Source organism: Homo sapiens, chromosome 3 (genome assembly GCF_000001405.40).
Source record: "Homo sapiens chromosome 3, GRCh38.p14 Primary Assembly".
In the NCBI taxonomy this organism is placed as follows: Eukaryota; Metazoa; Chordata; class Mammalia; order Primates; family Hominidae; genus Homo; species Homo sapiens.
In genome coordinates, this window is record NC_000003.12 from 14,031,537 (window position 1) to 14,059,128 (window position 27,592).

General features: G+C 42.0%; 1 long non-coding RNA gene and 1 pseudogene across 2 annotated transcripts in view, besides 4 other annotated features; one reads left to right on the forward strand and one right to left on the reverse strand.

Annotated features, from left to right (window-relative positions):
* The window catches only part of TPRXL (tetrapeptide repeat homeobox like (pseudogene)), a 128,678-nt pseudogene that overhangs the window by 94,230 nt on the left and 6,856 nt on the right, over positions 1-27,592 (forward strand). The gene's annotated exons all lie outside the window — the stretch shown is intronic.
* On the reverse strand, positions 4,880-15,617 carry LOC112268445 (uncharacterized). Its single transcript, NR_173398.1, has 2 exons — positions 15,277-15,617; positions 4,880-10,092 (listed from the first exon to the last, which is right to left on the reverse strand). It is a non-coding gene; the product is annotated as an uncharacterized LOC112268445 (long non-coding RNA).
* Positions 16,018-16,187: an enhancer, noted in NCBI's record as "experimental_64840 CRE fragment used in MPRA reporter constructs". NCBI's record gives its function as "activates a minimal promoter by MPRAs in K562 erythroleukemia cells, with activity observed for both the introgressed and non-introgressed 3:14089139 variant alleles {active_cell/tissue: K562}" and the evidence as "EXISTENCE:reporter gene assay evidence [ECO:0000049][PMID:34662402]".
* Positions 25,769-26,968: an enhancer, noted in NCBI's record as "P300/CBP strongly-dependent group 1 enhancer chr3:14098805-14100004 (GRCh37/hg19 assembly coordinates)". NCBI's record gives its function as "activates an origin of replication core promoter dependent on BRD2, BRD4, P300/CBP, MED14 and CDK7 cofactors, with strong dependence on P300/CBP, by STARR-seq in HCT116 cells {active_cell/tissue: HCT116}" and the evidence as "EXISTENCE:reporter gene assay evidence [ECO:0000049][PMID:35650434]".
* Positions 25,856-26,356: an enhancer, noted in NCBI's record as "H3K4me1 hESC enhancer chr3:14098892-14099392 (GRCh37/hg19 assembly coordinates)". NCBI's record gives its function as "activates a minimal SCP1, AML or CMV promoter by ChIP-STARR-seq in naive H9 embryonic stem cells {active_cell/tissue: H9 hESC(naive)}" and the evidence as "EXISTENCE:reporter gene assay evidence [ECO:0000049][PMID:30033119]".
* Positions 26,357-26,857: an enhancer, noted in NCBI's record as "H3K4me1 hESC enhancer chr3:14099393-14099893 (GRCh37/hg19 assembly coordinates)". NCBI's record gives its function as "activates a minimal SCP1, AML or CMV promoter by ChIP-STARR-seq in naive and primed H9 embryonic stem cells {active_cell/tissue: H9 hESC(naive and primed)}" and the evidence as "EXISTENCE:reporter gene assay evidence [ECO:0000049][PMID:30033119]".

A 27,592-nucleotide genomic window follows, 5' to 3' on the forward strand; every position in this document is an offset into this window, starting at 1 on the left:
CTTATATGCATTTCCTGGACGAGACCTTTTTAAAAAACTAATTTTTGTTGGGGATTTCCCTGTGGGACCACTGCACATTGTGGTTGGTCAACCCCCAGAGACACTCCCACGAGACCCCAGTCACCTAGGGGTGCTTTTTGGGTGGAAGGAGCAAAATGACCTTTCTCTTCAGAGCTAAGAAAACTCAGTCTCTCATTTACCTATGAAAACAACAGTTCAGTTTCTCAAACAAATCTGCACAGATGAGCCAAATCAAGATTAATTTTGGGAGAAAAAGCAATAGAGAAGACACCTTAGAATGCATCTCAGAACTACAATTAGGATCCTTAAATAACTTTGTAGGAGAGAAAAAAAGAACAACAGCCAAGACCACTTGCTGTAAACTGTGTTCAGCCACCCCTACTTTGTAGCTCTCATCTGCCATTACACACGCCATGGTCAAATCCTCTCACAGTACAAGGTAATCTCTGCTACCAACAAAGCCAAAGAGGTCAGGTTATGCAATACAGAAAAACAGAGCTTTAGACCTAAGAAGAATCTGCCCATGACTCTTGAAACTCCACAAAGAAAAAAGAACACCCCAAAAGGGATGAATGGTGCCTTCGTTCTGGATTCTTTAAAGGGGTTCAAGTCATTAGAAGCCTTCTCTAGATTTTGGGGTACTACAGATGGCAAAGGTGGAAGGAGGTATAGGATGGAAGAAAAGTAAACATTTTTTTAAAGACAGAAAACACAAATGAAGCACATTTTTTTTTGTTCTGTTTTCCCCCTCTTTTGCTGCTTTTGAGGAATTTTAGCCAAATTAGAGAGGCTTTGTCACCCATAATTATAGATATATAGTTGGTCAAATCTGATGGGAGAAAGACTGGAACAAACAACAACAACAACAACAAAAATCCCCAACAATATGATTCCTGAGTGCTCTAATGGTAAAGAGAAATTAACACCAGCTGGTTGTATACTTTAGCCAAGACAAAACCCCCATTCAGCTACTTACCTAAGCGTGGGTCTCAGGCTGAAGATGGCTTTCTACTACCCTAGAAGCAGGAAAAGAAAAACCTAGAACACATTTTCCCTGCTTGGAGCGAGCTCAAACTCCATAAAGGAGTTACCTACCTACCATCATCATGAAAACAGGAAATCTTGCTTTCCCTGTTGGAAGCAAGTAAAACGCCAAAAAAAAAAAAAAAAAAGAAAAGAAAAGAAAAAGGAGTCATACAGCAAAATAAACTTTAGGTCTCGACCAAATTTTGGGAGATCAGGGATTCTCTGGAGGGGGTGCTTCCAGTCCTCAGCAAATTCTCCTATAGGTTTGAGCCATAAAGTTGGTTTATGCTAGTACCAAGCACCAATAGGAGATTTGTCAAAGGCAGAGGTACCTCCACTGAGAATTTCTTTGTGATTGCCAAAATGTGAACCTCAAAAATCTGAGACAGGTCTCAGTTAATTTAGACAGTTTATTTTGCCAAGGTTGGGGATGCATGCCCATGACACAGCCTCAGGAGGTTCTGATGACATGTGCCCAAGGTGGTAGGGGCACAGCTTGGTTTTATACATTTTAGGTAGACATGAGACATCAATCAAGATGTGTAAGATATACATTGGTTTAGTCCTGAAAGGTGGGACAACTCGAGGCAAAGTCAGGACAACTTGAGGCAGGAAGGGGCCTTCCAGGTCATAGGTAGATAAGAGGCAAATGGTTGCATTCTTCTGAGTTTCTGAATAGCCTCCCCAAATGCAGCAATCAGATATGCATTTATCTCAGTGAGCAGAGGGGTGACTTTGAATAAAATGGGAGGCAGTTTTGCCCTAAGCAGTTCCCAGTTTGATTTTTCACTTTAGCTTAGTGATTTTGGGGCCCCAAGATTCATTTTCCTTTCACAGGTGCATATATATTTAGGACAGTTAGGTCTTGCTGAATTATTATGTAATGACCTTGTCCTTTTTTTTAATCCTTGTTTAAAGTCTGTTTTGTCTGAAATTAGGGTTGCAAACCCTGCTTTTTTTCTGTTTCCATTTGCTTGGTAGACTTTCCCCTAATTCTTTATTTTGAGCCTATGGGTGTCACTGTGTGTGAGATGGGTCTTGAAGAAAGCATACCATTGGGTCTTGCTTCTTTATCCAGCTTGTCAGTCTGTGCCTGTTAAATGGGGCATTTAGCTCATTTACATTTAAGGTTAGTATTGATATGTGTGGATTTGATCCTGTCATTGTGTTACTAGCTGGTTATTATGCTGGCTTGTTTGTGTGGTTGCTTTATTGTGTCACTGGTTTGTGTGTTTAAGTGTGTTTTTGTATTAGCTGGTAACAGTCCTTCCTTTATATATTTAGTGCTCCTTTCAAGATCTCTTGTAAGGCTGGCTGGGTAGTAATGAACTCCCTCAGCATTTGCTTATATGAAAAGGATCTTTCTTCTTTGCTGAGGAAGCTTAGTTTGTCTGGATATGAAATTCTTGGTTGAAGATTTTTTTTTAAATAATGTTGAATATAGGCCCCCATTCTCCTCTGGCTTTTAGGGTTTCAGCTGAGAGGTCCACTGTTAGCCTGATGGAGTTCCCTTTGCAGATGACCTACCCTTTCTCTCTAGCTGCCTTTAACATTCTTTCTTTTTCACCTTGGAAAATATGATGACTATGTGTCTTGGGGGTGATCTTCTTGTGTAAAAATCTTGCAGGGGTTTTCTTTATTTCCTGAATTTGACTGTTGGCCTCTCTAGCAAGGTTGGGAAGTTTTCATGGACGATATTCTGAAATACGTTTTCCAAGTTGTTGTTTTCTTTTTGTCCCTTTCAGGGATGCCAGTGATTTACAGATCTGTTCTCTTTAAATAATTCCATATTTCTCAGAGGTTTAGTTAATTCCGTTTTTTTATTTTTGTCTGACTATCTTATTTCAGAGAGAGCCAGTCTTTGAGTTTTGAGATTCTTTCCTCAGCTTGGTCTATTCTGCCGTTAATACTTGTGATTGCATTGTGGAATTCTTGTAGTGTGTTTTTCAGCTCTATCAGATCAGTTAGGTTCTTTTTTCTACTGGTTATTTTATCTGTCAGCTCCTGTATCCTTTTGTTGTGATTCTTAGTTTCTTTGGATTTGGTTTGCCATTCTTCTGCATCTCAATCTTCATTCCTATCCATATTCTGAATTCTTTTTCTGTCATTTCCGTGAGCTTAGCCTAATTAAGAACCCTTGTTGAAGAACTTGGGTGGTTCTTTGGAGGACATAAGACACTCTGGCCATTGGAGTTGCTGGGGTTCTTGAATTGGTTCTTTCCCATCCCTGTATGTGGGTGTTCCTTTGAATGAAGTGTTGATTGAGTACACTCAATAAACTTCTATTCTGGATGTTTTCACAGAGCTGAGGCATTGTATAGGATCTTTATTTGTAGCTGACTTTTTGTCTTTCGTTTCATAGTGTGGTATGTCAGTGAGGTATTTTGGTGTTGAAGCTTTGGGGTGTGATCCAGTAGGTTTAGGCTTCTGCTCAATCATATCCCTCCCCTATATTTCCTTATGGTTGCAGCCATGCTCCCTCTCAATGCTCTGAAAGTGTGGGCTCCTCTCCCACTTGAGTGCTGGGTATAGATTGTGGCTTTGCACTCCCAGGCTGCCCACCACAGCTCTGGGGTGATCTCAGGTTTTATGTTTCTTCCCCAACCTGGAGGCGGCAGAGCAAGGGACCTTAGTAGTGGCCAAGGGTCTTTTGCTTGTCTCCTGGGTCCCCACACCAGAGAGATCCAGGTTAGCAATCAGCCTAGGATCAGGGATCTGTGCTGTGGGCCCAGGCTGGGGGTTCCCTGTCTGGTGATGAGCTGTAGGGGGATCCCATGGGAAATGGACTGGCCTCCTCTCCTTGGGTGGACTGCAGCTTGTTGGAGATGTGAATAAGGCACTTTGGGTCTTTGTTCCTTCTTTAGTCCAGGGGTAGCAGGGGTAATACTGCAGAAGCAGTGGCAGAAAGGCTGTTGGTTGCCTCTGGCGGCTCCACCTCCAAGAAATGTGGAGTCACTGTTACTGAGAGTATTCAGCCAGTGGGGTGGTGCAGCTGCACTGCTGGCATGTGCTTAGGATTCTGCTTGTTGGAGAGCATGGGGTCAAAGACTCAATAGGAGGAGAGACTGGTCTCCTCTCTCTATGGTGACTGTGGTGTGCTGTAAGGTCAGGTGTAGCCCTGAGGCTCTTTGTTGCTTCCCCATACCAAGTGGCAGTGGCAGAGAGGCTGTTGGATGCCTCTGGGAACATTTCCCAGGGAAATTCTGGACCATTACCTCGTAATGCAGGCTTTTACAGCTGTAAATTGTTGAATTGATCCTTTTGTCATAATATAATGATTTTTTTCTCTAGAGGCAGTTTTTGGCTTACAGTCTATTTTGTCTGACATAAGACTAGCCACTCCTGCTTTCTTTTTGTTACCATTTGCTTCACTGTCAGTTTACGTGTCTTTGAATCTAAAGTGAGTTTCTTGGCTGGGCATGGTGGCTCATGCCTATAATCCCAGAACTTTGGGAGGCCAAGGCAGGAGGATCACTTGAGCCCAGGAATTCAAGGCTACAGTGAGCCATGATCATGTAACTGCACTTTCGCCTGGGCAACAAAGTGAGACCGTCTCTAAATAAATAAATAAATAAATAAATAAATAAATAGAGTCTCTTGTAGACAAATGTATAGTTGGATCATGCTTTTTAAAAAATCCATTAAGCCATTCTGTATCTTTTTATTAGGGAGCTTAGTCCATTAACATTTAATGTAATTACTGGTGAAGAATGATTTACTGTTACCTTTGGTAACCATGAAGAAAATACTTATAAAAGTTACACAGGAAGAAAAGAGAAGGAATAAAAACTTATCAATATGTTGCAGGAATTAGAGGACCTGAGAGACTAAATAGGTGTTACAGGAGGACTTTTATTAAGGTGTACACCAGCTCAGTGGATCCAGGTTTTTTCACATCCAAAAAACTGAGCCTGGAACAAAGACAGGGCTTGATTTTTATAAGCAAGCTTACAGAAGCAGAACAAAGACAGTTAATTAAACAGTGACAGGTCTCATAATCTCTAGCATAGCTTGTGACTTTGCAGCTGCATCAAAGGAGAAACAGGAACTTAGAAAACTTGCAAAATATTTATGGAGAAGGGGTAAAGGGCTAAAAGAGGAATTTGTTTTTCTTATCCTTATGTTGGGGAGTGCTGGGAGAGTCTCCAGAGCACATTCCTTTTGGGTCTTGACTTCTTAGATTGTGTTATCAGGACCTTGCCTGGGCCTGGGCTGTGTCTGTTACTGCTTTTTGGGATGAGACAGCCTAAAACAGGAAAACTTGCTTTTCTCTTTTAATTTTATTTTCCTTTCTTTAATTTTCTGCATCAAATATAAAAAGACCAAAACACTGGGGAAGACAGCAAGAGAGAAACAGAGAGTCAAAGGAACTACAAGACAAACAAAAAATAGTTAACAAAACGGCAATAGTAAATACTAGATTCAAGGACACACATAGGCTTGAGAGGTGACAACGTGCTAGCAGCCCTCACTCACTCTCAGCACCTCCTCGGCCTCGGCGTCCACTCTAGCCATGCTTGAGGAGCCATTCAGCCCGCAGCTTCACTGTGGGAGCCCCTCTCTGGGCTGGCTGAGGCCAGAGCCGGCTCCCTCTGCTTGTGGGGAGGTGTGGAGGGAGAGGCGCGGGCGGGAAGTGGGGCTGCACACGGCGCTCGTGGGCCAGCGCGAGTTCCAGGTGGGCACGAGCTCGGCAGGCCCTGCACTCAGAGTGGCCGGCTAGCGCCACCAGCCCCAGGCAATGAGGGGCTTAGCACCTGGGCCAGCAGCCGCAGAGGGTGTGCCGGGTCCCCCAGCAGTGCCGGCCCGCCTGCACCACACTTGAATTCTCACCGGGCCCCAGCTGCCTCCCCGCAGAGCGCAGCTTGGGACCTGCAGCCTGCCATATTTGAGCCTCCCCCAGCCCACTGCCCCCATGGGCTCCCACACGGCCCGAGCCTCCCCAACGGGCACCGCCCCCTGCTCTGCAGTGCCCAGTCCCATCAACTGCCCAAGGGCTGAGGAGTGCAGGCGCATGGCATGGGACTGGCAGGCAGCTCCACCCGCGGCCCCGGCACGGGATCCACTAGGCAAAGCCAGCTGGGCTCCTGAGTTGGGTGGGGACTTGGAGAACTTTTAATGCCTAGCTAAAGGATTGTAAATGCACCAATCAGCACTTTGTGTCTAGCTCAAGGTTTGTAAATGCACCAATCAGTGCTCTGTGTCTAGCTAATCTAGTGGGGACTTGGAGAACTTTGTGTCTAGCTAAAGGATTGTAAATGTACCAATCAGCACTCTGTGTCTAGCTCAGGGATTGTAAATGCACCAATCAGCTCTCTGTCAAAACAGACCAATCAGCTCTCTGTAAAATGGCCCGATCAGCTCTCTGTAAAATGGGCCAATCAGCTCTCTGTAAAATGGACCAATCAGCAGGATGTGGGTGGGGTCAGATAAGGGAATAAAAGCAGGCTGCCCCAGCGAGCAGTGGCAACGTGTTCGGGTCCCCTTCAACGCTGTGGAAGCCTTGATCTTTTGCTCTTCACAATAAATCTTGCAGCTGCTCACTCTTTGGGTCCACGCCACCTTTATGAGCTGTAACACCGCAAAGGTCTGCAGCTTCACTCCTGAAGCCAGTGAGACCACGAACCCACTGGGAGGAATGAACAACTCCAGACGTGCCGCCTTAAGAGCTGTAACACTCGTGAAGGTCTGCAGCTTCACTCCTGAAGCCAGTGAGACCACGAACCCACCAGAAGGAAGAAACTCTGAACACGACCGAACATCAGCAGGAACAAACTCCGGACACACCATCTTTAAGAACTGTAACACTCACCGTGAGGGTCCGCAGCTTCATTCTTGAAGTCAGTGAGACCAAGAACCCACCAATTCTGGACGCAGGCTGACAGTGAAGGGTTGAAAACAGATATCCCATGTAAATAGCCCTCAAAAGAAAGCAGTAGTGGCCATTCTTATATAGCACAAATTAGAATTTAAGTCAAAAACTGTCCCAGGAGACAAAGTCATTACATAATGATAAAAGGGTGAATTCAACAGGAAGATAACAGCAATTGTAAATACATATGTACCTACTATTAGACTACCTAAGTATATAGAACAAATATCAAAATATCTGAAAGGAGAAATGGACAGCAATAGTGTAATGGTAGAATAATTCAGTACCCCACTTTCAATAAAAAATAGAAAATCCAGATAGAAAATCAATAACAAAATAGTGGACTTTAAATTGATGTAATAGCCATATACAGAATTTTTCAATTAACAAAAGAAAAATATGTAATCTTCTCAAGTGCACACAGAACATTCTCCAGGATAGATCACATCACATATTTCCAGGATAGGTCACAAAACAGGACTGAATACATTTAAGAAGATTGAAATCATATTTAGGAAGAATGGAATCAAATAATATGTCAAACACTTCCAGTGAATTTTTAATTTTCATTATTGTATCTTTATCTTCATTTCTGTTTGGTTCTTTGTTATATTTTCTATTTGTTGATATTCTCATTGTTGGGAACAGGTGTTGGGTGCCACAAAGAAGAACTAGCACTTAGACTGAAAATTCCTCAGCAAGACAACTTTACTTCTGCAGAAGGGTGCTACTTGCATCTGAAGCAATTGCAAGAGCACACCAAGGGGGCTAGGGCAGGGGTTTTTACCCCTAATGCAGCTCATGTTTCTGTGTCCTTTCCCCAGTAACTAGAGTTGGACCACACAATCTAAACCCGATTGGCTATTGTTTGAAATTGAATAGGGCCTATTAGGCAGGAAGGGAGAGGCTGTTCCTGTTACCAATTAGGTGGGAAGGGTTGTTTACAGAACCAGAAAGAACAACGAAGTTTGAAGAGGAACTTATTGTTTCTGGCAATATCCCCCCTCTTTATAGTTTTTCCTCTTCAAATTTTTCAAACATAATTTGGCTCTGTTGTTCCTCTTGGTGATCTAGAAGTGGGAGTTTATCTGAATAGGGTGGGGAAGAATTGAGGGAGGTTTTAGTAAGAGCTGTTTCTGTAAGCCTTTGCACCAACCCATGAACAGAAGGTGTAATACAGCAACCTACAAGAATGAGTACACCTGTAACAACTGCAAGAGAAGTAAATATTGAGGTCATGAGTCATTTCCATTTTCCAAACCATTTTTCCATAAGACCTGAAAAGGGGCCATTTATTCCGGGATTTTCAGCTAATTCACTTGTAAGGCCCTGTAATGCTTTTGTAATTGTTCCATTAGGGGCTGTGTTAATAGGGATAAAAGTGCAACATTGGACTCCAATCATGACACAGACTCTGCCTTTTTCAGCCAATAACATGTCAAGGGCTATCCTGTTTCCCCAAGCCATTTGGCTGGTGGGGCCTAATTTCTCAGCTATTCCTTTAATGGCATCGCTTGTGTAATTGACAAACCGCTGTCGATTATAGTAAATGTAATTTATCCAGTCTACATGTTTGTTTGTAGTTGACCACCAGAATAATACAGATTCAAATCCTGTGGTAATTTGATTTCAGGCTTTAAATTCACTGGGCACCCCTCGGGGAACTCCGATAGCATCTATATAAACATGAGGGTCAAAAGACCCATGGGGGACACTTCTTTTTCTGTAGTTGTCCTTTTTGTTTGGTTGATGAAATTCCAGGGTGAAAGGGATGGCCAATTTGATTAGAGCACAAGTGCTGCTCCAGTTACTTGGCAGAGTACCCAATAGTGGTCCACCGCAATACCACCATACATCTGCTTAGGGATGAACAAGGGCAGACTGATTGGTTAGCTCTTGAAAAGGCTTAGGTGTGCTGCACCCTGTTAAGCTCCTAAGGAATGCCAAGTTTTCCCCATGCCATGAGAGACACGAGGTGAAATTGACATTTGTAGCCGGAGTCCGAATGGCCCTCAGGGGCAGACCTGCAGGGCTTTTAACTTCTGGGAATAGTAGGGAGAGGGTTAGACATGCCTTATTGCCCCAGGCTGTGGGGTTTTGGAAGAGGGCTACCATACATACAGTCCATGCCCGGTTGGTCAGAGGAAAGGGGACAATTTGGGTTTCTGGCCTGCCTGTCGCACAAGCATAAAAATCGCTTTTGTGTAGTGTGTGGACAGAATATTTAATCCATTCCAGCCAGGCATTTGCATCTTGGTACCCTATTTCAATGGCTAAAGTTTGCTTTAAATTTTTGATTTCTATTACGATACTTTGGTTTTGTCGTTGGGTATGAGGTGGGAAATGGTTTGAATTTGTGGGATCGAGGAGGGGGTGGGAGACGAAGGGGAAGGAACAAAGCATAATTTAAAGAAGCCTATAGGGTCCCTTCCAGCAACATCTGCCCCTTAGCCATAAAATCGCTCTACAGTGGGTGTGGGAATGGTGAAGGTAAGGGTATTAATAGAGATAAGTACTGGGTTGCAATGGTTAGATTGGCAATTAGAGGGGGTAGTCCCTTTGGTGAAGTGTAGGTGTGGCTTTAGGGCAGTGCAACCCTGTCAGGAGGTCCAACCCTGATTTTTAGTAGTCCATAGAACGTCTGCCCACTGTGAACATAACTCCCAATTACCTGACTCTTCCTCTGAAGATTCCCACCACACACAAGACACAGTAGTAGTAGTGTTTTCCTTGGAGGGACAGGGGTATTTTTCTGCAGAGGCTAGCTGCCTTTGACTTTGAAGATCTCCACAAGGTAAGACTAGACAAGCATCAAATGTAACTGTTTGGGGAAAGGGTGATTGAGTTACACTGATAATAAGATATCCTTGAGTAGCTAAGGAGAGAAGAAAAAGATAGATTAAACCCACTTGAATGTTGATTTTGAGGCTGTTGTTCCTGGAGTGACAGTCCATGATTCTGGAGAGGGCAATGCTTTTTTGACTCTGGTATAATGGGTCCACCACTTTTCAGCGGTCTGGACTGCCGTCTCAGTCATTAGGAGCACCAAATAAGGTCCTTCCCAGGTGGGTTCGAGCTTTCCCTATTTCCAGCTTTTGATAAGGACGTGATCTCTGGGTTGGTGTTGGTGAACTGGGAATTCAAGGGGTGGAGTTTGTGCTAGGAGGCCTTGAGTCCTGAGGGAGGAAAGGGTGGAAGACAGACAAAATATATAGTTTTTAAGAAATTGATCTTTTGTTTCAAATGTAGGAAGGTCAGTTGTGGAATTTAGGTAAGGCAGCCCGTAGAGCATTTCATAAGAGGACAGGCCAAGGTCTTTTTGAGGGATAGTTCGGATTCTTAGTAAGGCAGTGGGAAGGCATTTTGTCCATAGTAACCAGGTTTCCAAGATTAATTTGGTGAGGTGGTTTTTTTTTTTTTTTTCAGGGTCTGGTTCATTATTTCTACCCTTCCTGATGAAGGTGGATGCCAAGGGAGTATGATATTCCCACTTTATTTCTAGTGCTTGGGTTAGCCTTTTAATTATGAGTGTAGTAATGTGGGTCCTGTTGTCTGAATCAATATTCTCTATTATTCCAAACCTGGGTATGATATTTTCCAACAGAGCTTTAACTACATTACTGGCTATTGCACTTGGGAAGGGGATGGCTTCTACCCAGTGGGTAAGATAGTCTACTATTACTAATAAATATTTGAGGTGACCTATTAGGAGCATTTCAGTATAGTCCACTTGGATACTTTGGAATGGCCTTAGCCCTGGATTTCTTCCTCCAAAATGTTGCTTCTTTAAGGTTTGCTTATTAGTTTCTCTGCACACTATGCAACTATCTGTAACTTGCTTAGCAGGGGTCTAGATCCCCATATACCCATAAACCCTAAGGACTGTGTCACACAGAGCGTGGGGACCCCAGTGGGTTCCTTGGTGAAGTTGTGACAGCATTTCCCTCATGAGAGGTTTATACAACATTTCCCTTCCATCTGGTAATACCCACTTTCCCTCTGGGCTTTCCTCAGCTCCTAATTTTTTTGGTTTTTCTTGGTCTGCAGGGGAAAAGATGGGGATTGCAGCTGGAGGGGGAAGACGGGAGGTTAGATGGAAAATGGGTGCCTTCTGGGAAGAAGCAGCTTGCTTAGCTATTTAATCTGCAAGGTTATTCCCCCGGCTTTCAAAAGATAGATTCCTTTGATGTCCTGGGACATGAACAACAGCTATCTCTTCTGGCAGCTGTAGATTATCCAATACTTGTATTATTAACTCTTTGTGGACCAGGTTTTGGCCCTTACTGTTAATAACACCCCGTTCAGTCCAGATTTTTCTAAAGGTATTGACTACTCCAAAGGCATATTTGGAGTCAGTGTAGATAGTTCCTTCTTGGTTTTGTAGACATTTTAAAGCCTGATTTAGTACAAATAGCTCACATGTTTGAGCAGACCAGTCATTTGGCAATCTTCCTGATTCTGTTTCTGCCAGAGTTTTCCCATCAACTACTGAGTACCCGTTATGCCTCTTTCCTTCAACTACCCAAGAAGGACCATTTATGAAAAGATGCCTCCCTGTTTGGAAAGGAGTTTCACCTAATTTTTGTTTGATAACTGATTGGTTCTAAACATTTGTGCTCCGGGTTCTCTGGGTTTGGATTCCCTGTTAGGAAGGCAGTGGGGTTAAGTGAATTGTCACTAAAGTTAAATCATCCTTTTCTAATAAGATAGCCTCATACTATAAAATTCTTGAGTCAGTAAGCCATCTTCCTACCTTTTGGTTAAGAATAGTTCTGACTTGGTTAGGAGTACTCACGATGAAGTTTCCTCCGAAGGTTATTTTTTCTGCTTTCCTCTGTTAGCAAGGCAGTTGGTGCTATGGATTGAACACATTCAGGCCATCCATTACTGGGTCAATAACTTTTGACAGAAAGGCTATGGGCTGCTGGTGACCCCTGTGTTTTTGGGTGAGTACCCCTAAGGCTACTCATTTGTTTACATTGACAAAAATATGAAATGGCAGTTCTAGGGCGGCTAAAGCTAGAACCAGGACAGTTACTAATAAATGTGTTAATTTTTCTACTTGTATTTCTGATAAGGTCCATAGAAGGGAGTCTGGCTCTTCTTGGGTGAGTTTTTGGTATAAAGGTTTTGTCTCTAAGGCATATGAGTCAATCCATAGGTGACAGTATCCAACCAATCTCCCACATTTTCTAAGTTCTTGTTTCATTTCTGGTAGAGGTAGGGATATGATACCCTCAATCCATTCAAACCCTATTTTCTGTTTGCCTTTGCTTAAGTGCCCTAGGTACTTTACTTCAGGTTCTACAAATTGGAGTTTACTCTTTGAGACTGGTAACCCTTGTTCTCTTAGATGATTTAGGAAGCTGATTGAAAATGTTACTCAATCTTTGTTCTCTCCTGAAATAAGCAGGTCATCCATGTATTGGAGTAGGCATATGGATGAGGGCAGGGAAAAGTTTTTTATCACTTGCTGTAGAATTTGACCAAATAAGTTTGGTGATCCTGTAAACCCTGGGGGTAAAACTGTCCGTCGGTATTGTTGTTTTTGACTGGAGTAGGGGTCTTCCCATTCAAAGGCAAACATGTCCCAGTTGTCCTCTGCTAACGGACAAGCTCAAAGGCATCTTTTAAATCTATTACTGTGAACCATTGGTGGTTATGTGGACTTCTACCAATAATAGTGTACGGATTAGGAACAATAGGGTGGGTGGTTTGAACTATTTGATTAATAGCCCAGAGGTCTTGCACTAACTGGTATGACCCATCTGGCTGCTATACAGGCAGTATTGGAGTGTTATAAGGGGACATACAGGGTTCAAGGAATTCGTCATGGAGAAGGCTTTCAATTATGGGTTTTAAACCTATCCTGGCTTTTAAGGGAATAGGGTATTGTTTTCTTTTTACTACTTCTTTGGGAGTTTTTAATTTGACATGGATTGGAGGAACCCATAGCTTTCCTTAATTTCCTTCTTTTGACCATATGTCAGGATGAATATGTTTTTCATCTATAGTGGTGAGTAAATTTAGGGAGGTGAGAAATTTTCCTTGATTAATATAGAGGCCTAAGCCTAATTTTAGCATTAAATGTCTCCCTAATAAGTTTGTTCCTGCCTCTGGAATTAACAGAAATTTAGTATTAGCTGAGTGGTTCTTATATTTGACCTCTGTTTCTTTTAAGATTTTTGCTTTAGATTTTTCTCCTTTTACTCCTGAGATAAGTTCTTGTGAACAAATTACACCAGAATGGGGGATGACAAACAGAGGAGTCAGCTGCCCCTGAGTCAATTAAAAAAGTTATAAGCTCAGGTTTGGGCCCCACCTCTATATTTATCAAGGGCTCTGGGTAGGACTCGAAATAAGAGACAGTGCCCCTGATCCCCCAGTCTTCCTCAAAGGCCTTAAGTAGGATGACTTTATTTTCCTTTTCCCATTTGGGCCATTCTCTTTTGAAGTGTCCTATTCTCCCACATTTGGAACATTTATTTGGCCCTCTTTCAGTAATTTTGAGTTCCCTGGCTTTGCTCTTTTGTACCCTTTATGTGGCCTGGTGAGTGGAAGCTTAAGTTCTTTACAGGTTTTGGCCCCTTGGGTGCTTTGTTGTAGGATGGACAGCATGATTTTTGCCTTTTGTTTCTGCTTTTTTTTCATCCCTTCATACATATGCTTTTTGAGCCTCCCTTAAAAGTTCCTCTGTAGGTCAATCTTTCCAGTTCTCTAATTTTGTAGTTTTTTTAAATAATGTCCGTCCAACTATTGGCGACCAAATGGAGCTTTAACATCCCTTATCCAAGGGGTTCTTCTAATTCTAGGCCAGCATATTTCTTCATTTGCTCCTTAAGCCTCTCTAAGAATTCCATAGGTCCTTCATCTTTTCCCTGTTGTATATTAAAGGCTTTGGTAATATTTTTAGTTTGAGGAACTGATTCCCGAATCCCTCTAATTACCATATCTCTGAGATCTCTCATATTTCCTTGATGGGCTATATTGTTGTTATCCCATTGAGGATCTTGGGCAGAGAACTTTTGTTCAGCTGCTGGGATGTTTTGACTGGGGGCGGGGTCAGGGGAGGTGCTCACATTCCCAAACCATCATAGTGGCCCTGCAGATCATGCTTCTTTCCTCTCCCAAAAAGAGGGTGCCTAGAATGGACATTAATTCAGCCTAAGTATACAACTGGGGTCCTAGGAATTGATCAATTTGATCTGCTACTCCATAGGGATCATCTAAGAGTGGTTTGAGCTCTCTTTTTAGGTTTCAGACTTCTGAGCTGGTTAAGGGGGCATTTACAAAGCCAATGCCCCTTCCTTCTAGAGGCACTTCCCTGAAGGGAAAGAGTGTTGGAGCAGATTCTCTCAAGGTAGTGGGGAAAAGGAAGTTTTGGATATCTTTTTTACATTGTTCTATCTCACGTTGAAGTCTTCCTGGGGGCGGGCATTTAGGCTGGGGATGGCCCCAAGAGTCAGGATTATAAGGAGGGGAGGAAACAACATGAGAAGGGGAAGGGCTTGGGGTAGCTGCATTTGCTTGAGGGGGAGGGAAGTTAGAGGTGCTTAGTGGGAAAGGTGGTCTAAAGGGTCCCACTTGTTAGTGGACTTTTTTGGGGTTAGGGATCTTAATTTCCTGAGGGGAAGTAGTTTCTGGCTTGTCTCCTGTAGCTTTTAGGGGATAGAGGAGGACAAGCCCTTGCCGCCAACACAGGGCATAGTCTGTTTCCTCCTGGGAGACAGGACTTTTGTTATTGACATATTCTATTAAAAGTTGACAAATCCAATCCTCATTGGACCCAACTTTGGCCAAAAAACTGAGGGTTTGAGGATAGGTTCTTGGGTCCAAATAAAACAATATTTTATTATTTGTTGCTTTTTCTTGTGTTTGGTCCTTTCATTATTCCTCCAGTAGTTTAACATGAGACCTCAGGGGCTATTAGAGGGAACTTTATTGTCTGTCTTGTCCTTTTTATTTTCTATCTTGCTGGTGGTATTTCCCATCCTGGAAGTTTTAGGTGTTTCTTGAGGTTCCCTGAGTCAGCGGAGCTCAACCTCTCCTAATACAGATTTCTTGTACCCTTTCTCTAGAGCTCAACCCCCGCTACTGGAGGTTTCTTGCACTCCTTTGCTTTCACTTCATCCTTCTCCAGCTGCTTCCCTCATGGAATTTAGATCCCTCTTAGTATTGATGGGTCAGTATAAACCCCATGACAGGAAGGCCACCTTAAGCCGTATGAGGTGACCACGGAACCATGGATCTGGACTCTACACTCACTTCACACTTAATTGTTCATCTCATTTACACACTTTCACCTCCAGGATGTCCCGACCACCAAGGAAATATTTCACCGCCCCCACAGATTCTCTTACCTTGGTCTGTGCTCAGAGTTACCTGGTTGCCACTGTATTTATTTGTAGACTTTTTCTTTCTCTGCATTGCTGAGAGTCCGGGTTTATTCGTCATGCCAGATGGGTCTCGATCCCTTACTCCTGAGGCAACTGTGACAAGGCAGCAGGATGTGTCTCCTCATGAGAGATGATCGGAGACCCTTCCCTGGAGGATAATGGAATCCCAGACAAGCCCCCAGATTGTTGGAGACAGGTGTTTGGTCCACAAAGAAGAGCCAGCACTTAGACCAAAAATTCTTCAGCAAGGCAACTTTACTTCTGCGGAAGGGTGCTGCTTGCATCTGATGCAATCGCAAGAGCACACCGAGTAGGCTAGGACAGGGGTTTTTATCCCTAATGCAGCTCCTGTTTCTGTGTCCTTTCCCAGTAACTGGAGTCAGACCGTACAATCTAAACTAACCTGATTGGCTATTGTTTGAAATTGAATAGAGCCAAGTAGGTGGGAAGGGAGAGGCTGTTCCTGTTACCAATTAGGTGGGAAGGGTTATTTACAGAACCAGAAAGAACAACGAAGTTTGATGAGAAACTTATTGTTTCTGGCATCATTTTGTTCATATATCCTTCTTCTGATTTCTCTTAGTTTTGTTTATCTTCTCCCTTAGCTATTAGTACACCGTTAAGACAGTTGTTTTAAAGTCCTTTTCTAGTAAGCCTGATTCTGAGCTTTCTCAAGGATGGGTTCTTTAGCTTTTTTTGTTTCTTCTTTGAAGGGGCTGTGTTATGCTATGGTTTTTGTGTGGCTTTTTTAATTAAAAATTAAGCTTTTGATTATTATATGTGGTATCTCTGGGAAGTCTGATTCTTCTACTTCCCAGGGTTTTTTTTCTCCCTTTGTAATTGTTAAATGCTGTAGTAGTCCTTTACTTTTGAGACTTTTCCTGACTACGTTTACAAAGATGATTCCTTACCACATATTATCTATAATGTCTGTTCCTATAGTTTATATGCATCTAGTGGTTTGACAGAGATTTTCCTGAATGCTTGGAACTCTTCCAGTCTTTGCAGATTGTCTCTGTGCTGGGGCAATCCTTCAGCATTTAGCTAGCCTTGCCCTGAGCCTGGGGTGAAAGCTTACAGTCTTCACAAGTCTTTTTTGAGCATGCATCTTGCCTGGGCATGACTATGGCTTTCTAAATTCCCTTATATACTTGACTGCTTTTGAACATCCTAATTTCCCAGTGAATCACATAATAGCTTCTGCTACATGCTTTTGTATGGTATATTGTGTGTCTCCATTTGTAACCTTTTGCCTCAGGCTTCTGTAAGTCTGTAGTTAACTAGCCACTTTTAATGAGCATTCACTGTATTTCCTGCCTAAGTTTCAAGTTGGGCAAACCAGATAGGAACATCTTGCATAAATGTTTCAAGTATCTAACAGACAGCTTACAGTAGATGTACACAATGGTTTGCAATAAGATCTACTCTCCTTCCTCTGGTTCAAGGAAAAAAATTATCTGGATTTTTGCCACTTCAAGACCAAGACTGCTGCCATGCTAGAAAAGGGCTGGGGTAAGGTGAGAAAAAATGCCACAAAACTTTCTTACAATTTTGAAAATGGTTTTGTTTTTTATTGGGTATTTACCTGGTTGCTGTAAATCTTTGACTGTTTTCTAGAGCTCAGACAGAGTTGTTTCAGGTAGTTTCTGCTTAATTTTTTCACTGTTTCCCTGTGGAATAATAGCTTTGAAATACCTAATCCTACATTTTGCTGACATCCATTTTGGTGGCATTTAATTACGTGGTACCAAATCATTGGCTGATGAAAAGCTGAACTTAGCTGGCTGCTGTGTCTGCTAGATGGGGCCTCTCTACCCCTGTGGGAAGGCAAAACTTGGCTGCTTGGCAACCACAGATCAAGTGCACTCTATTCCTGATCAGGGACAGTGAGAGCAGACCTGGGCAGTGGATCCCACATGCCATGGCCTGGGTCAGCTCACGCTACTAACAGACAAGTGATGGCAGATGGCACTTTTTATTGAGCCAAGAGTCTCCATGGTCTGTATGTAGCCAAGCTAGCTCCTTAATAATGCATTTTTCGGGGCATTTTCCTTTTCTCTACTTAAACTTGTTTGAATAGACAGAAATTTTCATCTCTTTTCTGATTCCCTTCCTAATGAATTTGGCAAAATTGGGCTGTGTGCAGTGGCTCATGCCTGTAATCCCAGCACTTTGGGAGGCTGAGCCAGGAGGATGGCTTGAGCTCAGTGAGACCAGCCTGGGTAATATAGTGAGACCCCATCTCTACAAAAACTCAGAAAAAATTAGGTTGGCATAGTGGTGTGTTCCTGTGGTCTCAGCTACTCAGGAGGCTGAGGCAAGAGGATCACTTGAGCCTGGGAGGCAGAGTTTGGAGTAAGCCAAGATCGTGCCACTGCACTCCAGCCTGCACAACAGAGTGAGACCCTGTCTCAAAAAAAAAAAAATGAATTTAGTAAAATATAGAAGGTTGAGAGTTGTTCAAGATCAAATTGTCTAACATTTTTGCTTTCATGGAATGATCACATTTGAAGCCTGGGGGTCCCTGTACTACCAGGGAACCCTTTGGTTACACTGCAGTGATCCATTGTGATGTATTTCTCCTTTAGTTGCCCTGGAGGGCTCAAGGATTGGATGTCTCAGTACCTCAGTCATAGAATCCGAAAAGTTTTCAGCTCCTTGAGATGTGTGCTCCATCTTCTGCAGGGTCTAGGCCGTTGACCTGCAGGTCTGCACATTTATATCACATTTAGGGACACTGTAGGAATTCTTAGAAAATGGAAAGAAATCAGCTCCAACTGGATTTGCTCTCTTCACTCATGGCCATAAGAAATATTTTAATATCTTGTTTAAACTGAGAGAGAGCTGGAAACGTGAAAATGGGAGAATGGAAATCACAACATGCACGACCTGGAAAGCAAATGCTCCAAGTGAGGACAGACCTAAGGATGCAGGTGCCTGTCACACATTGCAGGGAGAGGACATGCAGAGCCACTGTGAACTCAGGGGAGGCGCTAGGAAACTTCTCACCCCAGAGTAGAGACATTATAAAGTATGCAGTGGGCTTGGACTAATTTGATCTTGGTATCAGAAGGAAAGAACTTGGTCTTGTGTACATGATGTGACCCTTCTGATTCCTCACACAGATGTGACAAGGGAAGTTGGAGAAAATTTTGAGCACAGCTCTCTCCAGATTGCTATTATCCAGGAGGGAATACAGTAAAATTAAGAGGCAGGTAAAATATTCCACTGGTGACTCCATGGTTCCATGCTCCCCAGTTGAATTTTGCCACCTTTCTACAGACACTACAATTGCAGGCCTACAGAGGGATGAGCTAAGGATATCTTTCCTTAAAACCATGCAGGTTCTTCACAGGTGAACTGAATCCCCTACTCATCCATCTGCGTAAATGCCTCTTTATTCTGCAGGTGTAGAATCAGTGGGTGAGCTGGGCCCTAGGCAGGCTGTGGACTGAGACCAGTTGGTTCTAATAGCGAGGTTTTGGTGACCTCAGATTAGCCACCCAGCTCTAACCATCACCCACAGCTCAGAGGATTGTTTCCTCGGTAGTGCAAGGGGGTCTTTTCTGTTTTGTTTGGTATGTTTAATCCTTTAGTGACTCATAAAATTGGTGGATTTTTTTCCTTGAGAGATACTCAATTTTAGGTTTCCATTCACTTCTCAAACTAAATGACTTTTATTTACTTTCTTTTTCAGTTCTCAAGGTCCATACTCTTATGTTATCTAGTTATTTTAGATCCAGATATTACTAATTTCATATTCCTATTTATCAAGGAAGGGATAGGTTTTAACTCCAGAATTTTACTAAACGTACTTGCTTCTACTTCTCTCATCTTTATAAATCAATTCAAAGTATTATCTAAGAAGTGTCTTCTGTAGTTTGAGTAATTTAAAAATATATATATATAGGAATAAATAATTTTAAATCATTTAGAAGGAAATTAGATTATTTATTCAAAACACTGGCTTATCAAGAGAGTATAACCTTACATTCCCACAAACTATCTAACAATAATTTCTCATGAAGACACATCTTACCCCAGTTTTAATTTCACAAATTAATTAATTAATTTATTTATTTGAGACAGGGTCTCATTTGTTGCCCAGGCTGGAGTGCAGTGGTCCATCACAGTTTACTGCAGCCTCAACCTCCTGGGCTCAAGCGATCCTCCCACCTCAGCCTCCTGAGTAGCTGGTACCACAGGCATGCTCCACCACACCTGGCTAGTTTTTTGTATTGTTAGTAGACATGGGATTTTGCCATGTTGCTTGGGCTGGTCTGGAACTTCTGAGCTCAAGCAATCCCAGAGTGCTGGGATTACAGGCATAAGCCACTGTGCTGGGCCTAACTTCTCAAATTTAAATTAATGGTGTCAGCACATAAGCATGTACTCTAGTGGCTAGAATATTTCAAATTAGAGACAGTGACTATGAGGTTGCAGTTGCTTTAAAAAATAAAACAAAGTGATGATAATGGTGATAATCCCTTTGTGGCTCCCAAAGGTGTAATCTCTCAAATTTATTGAGAAGATGATAGTGATGACAGTGATGAAGTTGACAATTATGATAATGCAAAGCCAAAGTATGCTCTTTCATGTATCTAAGGTACCTCGCTAAGTGCTGGATGTAAATCATAGTATTTGCACATCATCTCTACCCTGAGAGATATGCACAATTACACTGGTGCTGCAGATGTGAAGATAGACATGCCCCCCCTCCCTTCCATCACCCTGTAACCTGTCCACCCCCGTGGGCATAAGTGCCAAACTTGTGAGTTTGCTCCTTTCCTTATTTTCTCCACTGCTCTGCTGACCACTGGATCAGGTGCATTGACCTGAGCATTCTTCACTAGTTGGTGGCCCATTTGATTATTCCATATATCACAGATTGTCCATGATTTGGTAACTACAGGTTGCAAAATATCTATAGTGATTGCTTCCTTAATCAAGGTAGTAAAGGGAATCTTACCTATGTTACCTTTCTTCTGAAGGAAATTCAGCTTCACTGTCTGCTTTGAGAGATTTTGATGGTGACTTTTCAAAGAAATGCTCAGATTGTTCTTTGACATTTCTTGCTCTGTGTATATTTTGTTTCTTAACCTGCGCACTTAGCTTTTCTCTTGTCTTCTTCAGTGTGGCCTCTCCAAATGTGACCTATCTCAGAATTTTCTTCCATGTTATTTTTCCTGTGATTTATGTCATTATCTTCTGAATCTCAAGTCTCTCAGAATAGCTTGCCTTCTCCCATGTGTCAAATGCAATTTTGGGGGTTTGGCTCATCGGGCAAGCCAGGTTTCAGCATCTGACACTCCTAAGAGCCATATTTGAAGAAAGTCTCTTAGCTCATCCTGCTGATGGAAGGAGTTCCTTTTCTGTCCCCGTATCTCCTAAACCATGCTGTGCAAGTCAGGTGGTGAGCATGATGTGGCACAGTGGGAGGATTCACACTGGGAGGATTTCTTTTAGCTCGTGTTTATGCAATATTCACATGCTTAAGGATGTTTTCTAATAAAAATGATCTATTAGCACAGAAGTAGCTATGTACCTTTTCTTATAATACATACAAGTATAAAGCATATAGAGGTGGGATGTGTGCTTCACAGATTCAGTTGTGTATGATCCGCACAACGTGGAGACAGCTGGACGATTAGAGCTGAGTTTTCTGTTTTCCTGGTATTCCATGGGCACCACTCCATAAGTGGATGATCATGAATGTATCCCATGTGTCACTTTCCAATACTCTAGAAAAAGTTTTCCGGCTCTAACTGGGGAAATTCTCTTATAGAGAAATATAATTTCCCATTGGTTTTAAAGCAATGATCCACATAAAACATGATTTCTTAAATGTTACTGCAATTCAAGGCACCTGAACACTTCTGCCTTTTCTGTATACATTTATATTGACAGGATTGTACACATTTGTATTGGCAGGACACAAACTGAGTTCTGTGTCCTCAGTTTACAAATGATTAAAACCTACTACTTAGCCAGTTTTACAATGGTATGTATTTTATTTTTAAAACTGAAATAAACTGGATTGAAATAAAGCTTGTGTTTTCCAGAAATGATATGATAGAAGGGAAATTCATAATTATTTTGTTTTATATTTTTGAAACATCTTTTAGATGTCATATATTTAATATTGTTCCTTTTAAAGCATTTCCAGTATCAAGATATCTGTATATATCTTATAACTTACATGAAATAGAGCTACAGAAATGGGTATATGCCATTTATAAGCACACAGAAGACAAGAAACCATTTAGTGCTGTGTGCTTAATTGGTGGGACCCATGAAGCTTGGGGACTACTGGGACATTAGATTAATATTTTCTGTTGTTTCTCCTGGGCACATCAAGGGAGCAAATCCAAATTTTCTAAATGTGTGAATGGAGAGAACTTTTTTACTAAATTGATTAAAAATTCAGAAAAGATTAACCTTTGCTAATGCTACTCTATGGAATTTATATTTTAGATAATGAAACTTTTCCATAGGTTTCAGACCAAATATCTAGGCTCAGAATACATAAATTTTCATGGCTTCTTAGCATTTCTGCCCTTCCTTAATAAGTTATAAAACCCACTGCTCTAAGTAGTTATGAAAATAATTTAGCCTTACACACTAGGTTTTCAGATGATAAAATTGTAGCAATATGTTACTGGTCCCATTTTGCATGTTATGTACTCCGTATCTATACACCTTGAATTAAAACTCATTGAAAGTAAGTACCAGCATACCATAGGGAAATACTCCATGAATAGGTCTCTACTAAATTCTCTAGTGTAATTTTTACAGTTAGGACCCCTACTTTGGAAAAATATCATTGCTTACTCAAAGAAGACATGAAAGCCTGGATTTCTGTGGAGAATCTCTCTCAGGTTAAGGGTGGATACCTGTTTTCTAATTAAAATACTAAAAAAGAGTGACCCCAAATCTATTTGAATTGTGCTTATATTTTCCACCTTGATTTTTACATGCCTAACATTGGAAAGAAAAGAAATTTTGGAATGTGGTCCAGCTAATACTTGATAACTCTACTCACTTAGGCTAGATTTTTGTGGCATGATAATAAAACATATGTAAAATGAATTTTAGAGGATTCAGAGAACTAAAATTTCATCAGAGACCTACAACCAGAGTTTGTTAAACAGAGTCTGCTATTTCAATGGTAGTTTTTCCTCTCTCATTTAGACAGGGATACTTGAGGAAATCTTTCAGAGACTTGCGTTAGCTTCCCAAGCCATGTATATGAGGAACCATACAATAAAAACAATAGCTAACATTTCTATTAAGATCATTATGTATCAGAAAAGTTTCCATGTTGGAGAAAGTTCCATGCGCTGATGAATAGAATGTATATTCTGTGGTTGTTGGATAAAATGTCCTGTATATATCTGTTAAGTCTACGTGTTCTAAGGTATGGTTTAAATCCATTGTTTCTTTGTTGACTTTCTGTGTTGATGACCTGTCTAGTGCTATCAGTGGAGTATTGAAGTCCCCCATTATTACTGTGTTGCTGTTTATCTCGTTTCTTAGGTCTATTAGTAATTATTTTATAAATTTGGGAGCTCCAGTGTTAGGTGCATATATGTTTAGGATTGTGATATTTTCCTGTTGAACAAGGCCTCTTATTATATAATGTTCCTCTTTGTCTCTTTTAACTGTTGTTGCTTTAAAGTTTGTTTTGTCTGATATAAGAATAGCTATTCCTGCTCACTTTTGGTGTCCGTTTGCATGAAATGCCTTTTTCCATCCCTTTACTTTATGTGAATCCTAATGTGTTAGGTGATTCTCCTGAAGGCAGCAGATAGTTGATTGGTGAGTTCTTATCCATTCTGCAGTTCTATATCTTTTAAGTGGAGCATTTTGGCAATTTACATTCAATGTTAGTATTGAGATGTGAGGTGCCATTTCATTCATTGTGCTATTTGTTGCCTGTGTACCTTAATTTTTTTGTTTGATGTTTTTGCTTTTTAAATTGTATTTTCCTTTTATAGGTGCTATGTTATTTATGGTTTAAAGAGATTCTATTTCGATGTGTTTCCAGGATTTGTTTCGAGATTTAGAGCTCCTTTCAGCAGTTCTTGTAGTGGTGGCTTGGTAGTGGCAAATTCAGCATTTGTCTGAAAAAGACTGTATCTTTCCTTCATATATGATGCTTAGTTTTGCTGGATACAAAATTCTTGGCTGGTAATTGTTTTGTTTGAGGAAGCTGAAGATAGGGCCCCAATCCCTTCTAGCTTGTAGAAGGGTTTCTGCTGATAAATCTGCTGTTAATCTGATAGGTTTTCCTTTATAGGTTACCTGGTGCTTTTGTCTCACAATTCTTAAGATTCTTTCCTTCATCTTTTTTTTTCTTTTTTTTGATTTTTTTTTTTTAATTTTATTATTATACTCTAAGTTTTAGGGTACCTGTGCACAATGTGCAGGTTTGTTACATATGTATGCATGTGCCATGTTGGTATGCTGCACCCATTAACTCGTCATTTAGCATAAGGTATATCTCCTAATGCTATCCCTCCCCGCTCCCGCCACCCCACAACAGTCCCCGGAGTGTGATGTTTCCCTTCCTGTGTCCATGTGTTCTCATTGTTCAATTCCTACCAATGAGTGAGAACATGCAGTGTTTTGTTTTTTGTCCTTGCGATAGTTTGCTGAGAATGATGGTTTCCAGTTTCATCCATGTCCCTACAAAGGACATGAACTCATCATTTTTTATGGATGCATAGTATTCCATGGTGTATATGTGCCACATTTTCTTAATCCAGTCTATCGTTGTTGGACATTTGGGTTGGTTCCAAGTCTTTGCTATTGTGAATAGTGCCACAATAAACATACATGTGCATGTGTCTTTATAGCAGCATGATTTATAATCCTTTGGGTATATACCCAGTAATGGGATGGCTGGGTCAAATGGTATTTCTAGTTCTAGATCCCTGAGGAATCGCCACACTGACTTCCACAATGGTTGAATTAGTTTACAGTCCCACCAACAGTGTAAAAGTGTTCCTATTTCTCCACATCCTCTCCAGCACCTGTTGTTTCCTGACTTTTTAATGATCACCATTCTAACTGTTGTGAGATAGTATCTCATTGTGGTTTTGATTTGCATTTCTCTGATGGCCAGTGATGATGAGCATTTTTTCATGTGTTTTTTGGCTGCATAAATGTCTTCTTTGGAGAAGTGTCTGTGATGACATGATTGTATATCTAGAAAACCCCATTGTCTCAGCCCAAAATCTCCTTAAGCTGATAAGCAACTTCAGCAGTCTCAGGATACAAAATCAATGTACGAAAATCACAAGCATTCTTATACACCAATAACAGACAAAGAGCCAAATCATGAGTGAACTCCCATTCACAATCACTTCAAAGAGAATAAAATACCTAGGAATCCAACTTACAAGGCATGTGAAGGACCTCTTCAAGGAGAACTACAAACCACTGCTCAATGAAATAAAAGAGGATACAAACAAATGGAAGAATATTCCATGCTCATGGGTAGGAAGAATCAATATCGTGAAAATGGCCATACTGTCCAAGGTAATTTATAGGTTCAGTGCCATCCCCATCAAGCTACCAATGACTTTCTTCACAGAATTGGAAAAAACTACTTTAAAGTTCATATGGAACCAAAAAAGAGCCCGCATCGCCAAGTCAATCCTAAGCCAAAAGAACAAAGCCGGAGGCATCATGCTACCTGACTCCTTCATCTTAACTTTAGATAACCTGATGACAGTATGCCTAGGCAATCATCTTTTTGCGATGAATTTCCCAGGTGTTCTTTGTGCTTCTTGTATTTGGATGTCTAGGTCTCTAGCAAGGCCAGGGAAGTTTTCCTCCATTATTGCCCCAACTATTTTAACAAACTTTCAGATTCCTCCTCTTCCTCCGGAACACTGATTATTCTTAGGTTTGGTCACTTAACATAATCCCAAACTTCTTGGAGACTTTGTTCGTATTTTCTTATTCTTTTTTATTTGTCTTTGTTGGATTGGGTTAATTCAAAGACCTTGTCTTTAAGCTCTGAATTTCTTTCTTCTACTTGTTCAATTGTATTGCTGAAACTTTCCAGAGAATTTTGTATTTCTGTAAGTGTTTCAATGTTTCCTGGTCCAATGTTTCCTGAAGTTTTGATTGTTTTTTCTTTATGCTATCTATTTCCTTGAATATTTGTCCCCCCCCCCACTTCTTGTATCTTTTTTTTTTTAATTTCCTTGCATTGGGCTTCACCTTTCTCTGGTGCCTCCCTAATTAGCTTAATAACTAACCTCCCAATTCTTTTTCAGGTAAGTCAGGGATTTCTTCTTGGTTTGGATCCACTGCTGGTGAGCAGGTATGATTTTTTGGGAGGTGTTAAAGAGCTTTGTTTTGTCATATTGCCAGAGTTAGTTTTCTTGTTCCTTCTCATTTGGGTAGGCTCTGTCAGAGGAAAGGTCTAGGGCTGAAGGCTGTTGTTCAGATTCTTTTGTCCCATGGGGTGTTCTCTTGATGTAGTACTCTTCCCCCTTTTCCTAGGGATGTGGCTTCCTGAGAGCCAAGCTCTTCTGGGTCTAGCCACCCAGCAAGTCTACTAGGCTCTGGTCTCATACTAGGGGTTGTCTGCACAGAGTCCTGTGATGTGAACCGTCTGTGGGTCTGTCAGCCATGGATACCAGCACCTGTTCTGGTGGAGGTGGCAGGGGATGAAATGGACTCTGTGAGAGTTCTTAGCTTTGGTGGTTAATGTCCTATTTTTGTGCTGGTTGGCCTCCTGCCGGGAGGTGGTGCTTTCCAGAGACCATCAGCTGTGGTAGTATGGAGAAAACCAGCAGTGGGTGCGGCCCTAGACCTCCCATGAGAATATGCCCTTTGTCTTCAGCTACCAGGGTGGGTAGGGAAGGCCTGTCAGGTGGGGGCAGGGCTAGGTGTGTCTGAGCTCAGACTCTCTTTGGGTGGGTCTTGCTGTGGCTGCTGTGCGGGATGGGAGTGAGGTTCTCAGGTCACTGGAGTTGTGTACCTAGGAGAATTATGGCAGCCTCTGCTGAGTCATGTAGGTTGTCAGGGAAGTTGGGGGAAAGCCAGCAGTCACAGGCCTCACACAGCTCCCACGTAATCTGAAGGGCTGGTCTCATTCCCACCGTGTCCCCTCCTAACAGCACCAAGTCTGTTTCCAGGCAGTGGCTGAGTAGGGCTTGAGCACGTGCCTCAGGCTACCCACCTCCCAGCTGGGAAAGAAAAGAGCTTTGGTTTTTCTCCCCACCTATGGAGTCTGCATGCTGAGTTCACACTCTCCCCCAAGTTCTGGCCAGGAGGCTTCTCGCCCAGTTCAAATTGTTACAAAGTTCAGTTGGAGATTTTTCTTCTCCCTGTGGCATTTTCCCCACACCTCTGGCCGCCCTCCTGAAGGATCCCTGTGGTGCCAGGCAGGAATGCCCTGCTTGGGGACCCTACAAGCTCCCAGAGCCTTTCCCGCTGCTTCCTCTACCCCTGTATTTCACTCACCTCTCTAAATTGACTCAGCTCTAGGTAATGTCGGAAACTTCTCCCACAAACTAGACCTTCAGTTTCCCCAGTGGGGGTGTGTGTTTGGGAGCAGAGGATCTCCCTTTCCCACTTCTTCAGTTTGGGCACTCATAGTGTTTGGAGTGTCTCCTGGGTCCTGCAAGAGCAATCCACTTCCTCCAGAGGGTCTGTGGGTCCTCTCAGGATTCCTGGTTTGTTTTTGCAGTTGTTCGGGATCTAAAATTCACAGTGCGAGCCTCCGCACACTGCTTTGTCTGAGTCAGAGCTGCAATCTAGTCCTGCCTGCCGTCCACCATGATGATCCACTCAGATTTTATGATTCTGTTAAAAAAAAAAAAAAAAATGTCACTGGGGCTGGGCTCATTCACTCACGCCTGTAATCCCAGCACTTTGGGAGGCTGAGGTGGTCGGATCACGAGGTCAGGAGTTCCAGACCAGCCTGGCCAACATGGTGAAACCCCCTCTCTACTAAAGATACAAAAAATTAGCTGGGCGTGGTGGTGCATGCCTGTAATCCTAGCTACTTGGGAGGCTGGGGCAGGAGAATCACTTGAACCCGGGAGCCGGAGGTTGCAGTGAGCCAAGATCATGCCATTGCACTCCAGCCTGGGTGACAGAGTGAGACACCATCTCAAAAAAATGAATGAATGAATGAATGAAATGAATCCATCACCTATTTTTTTAAAAAAAGAAAAAAATAGAAATACATTAAAAAAGTCATTGGGATTTGATAGGGATTGCATCAAATCTGTAAATTGCTTTAAGTAGTGTTCTG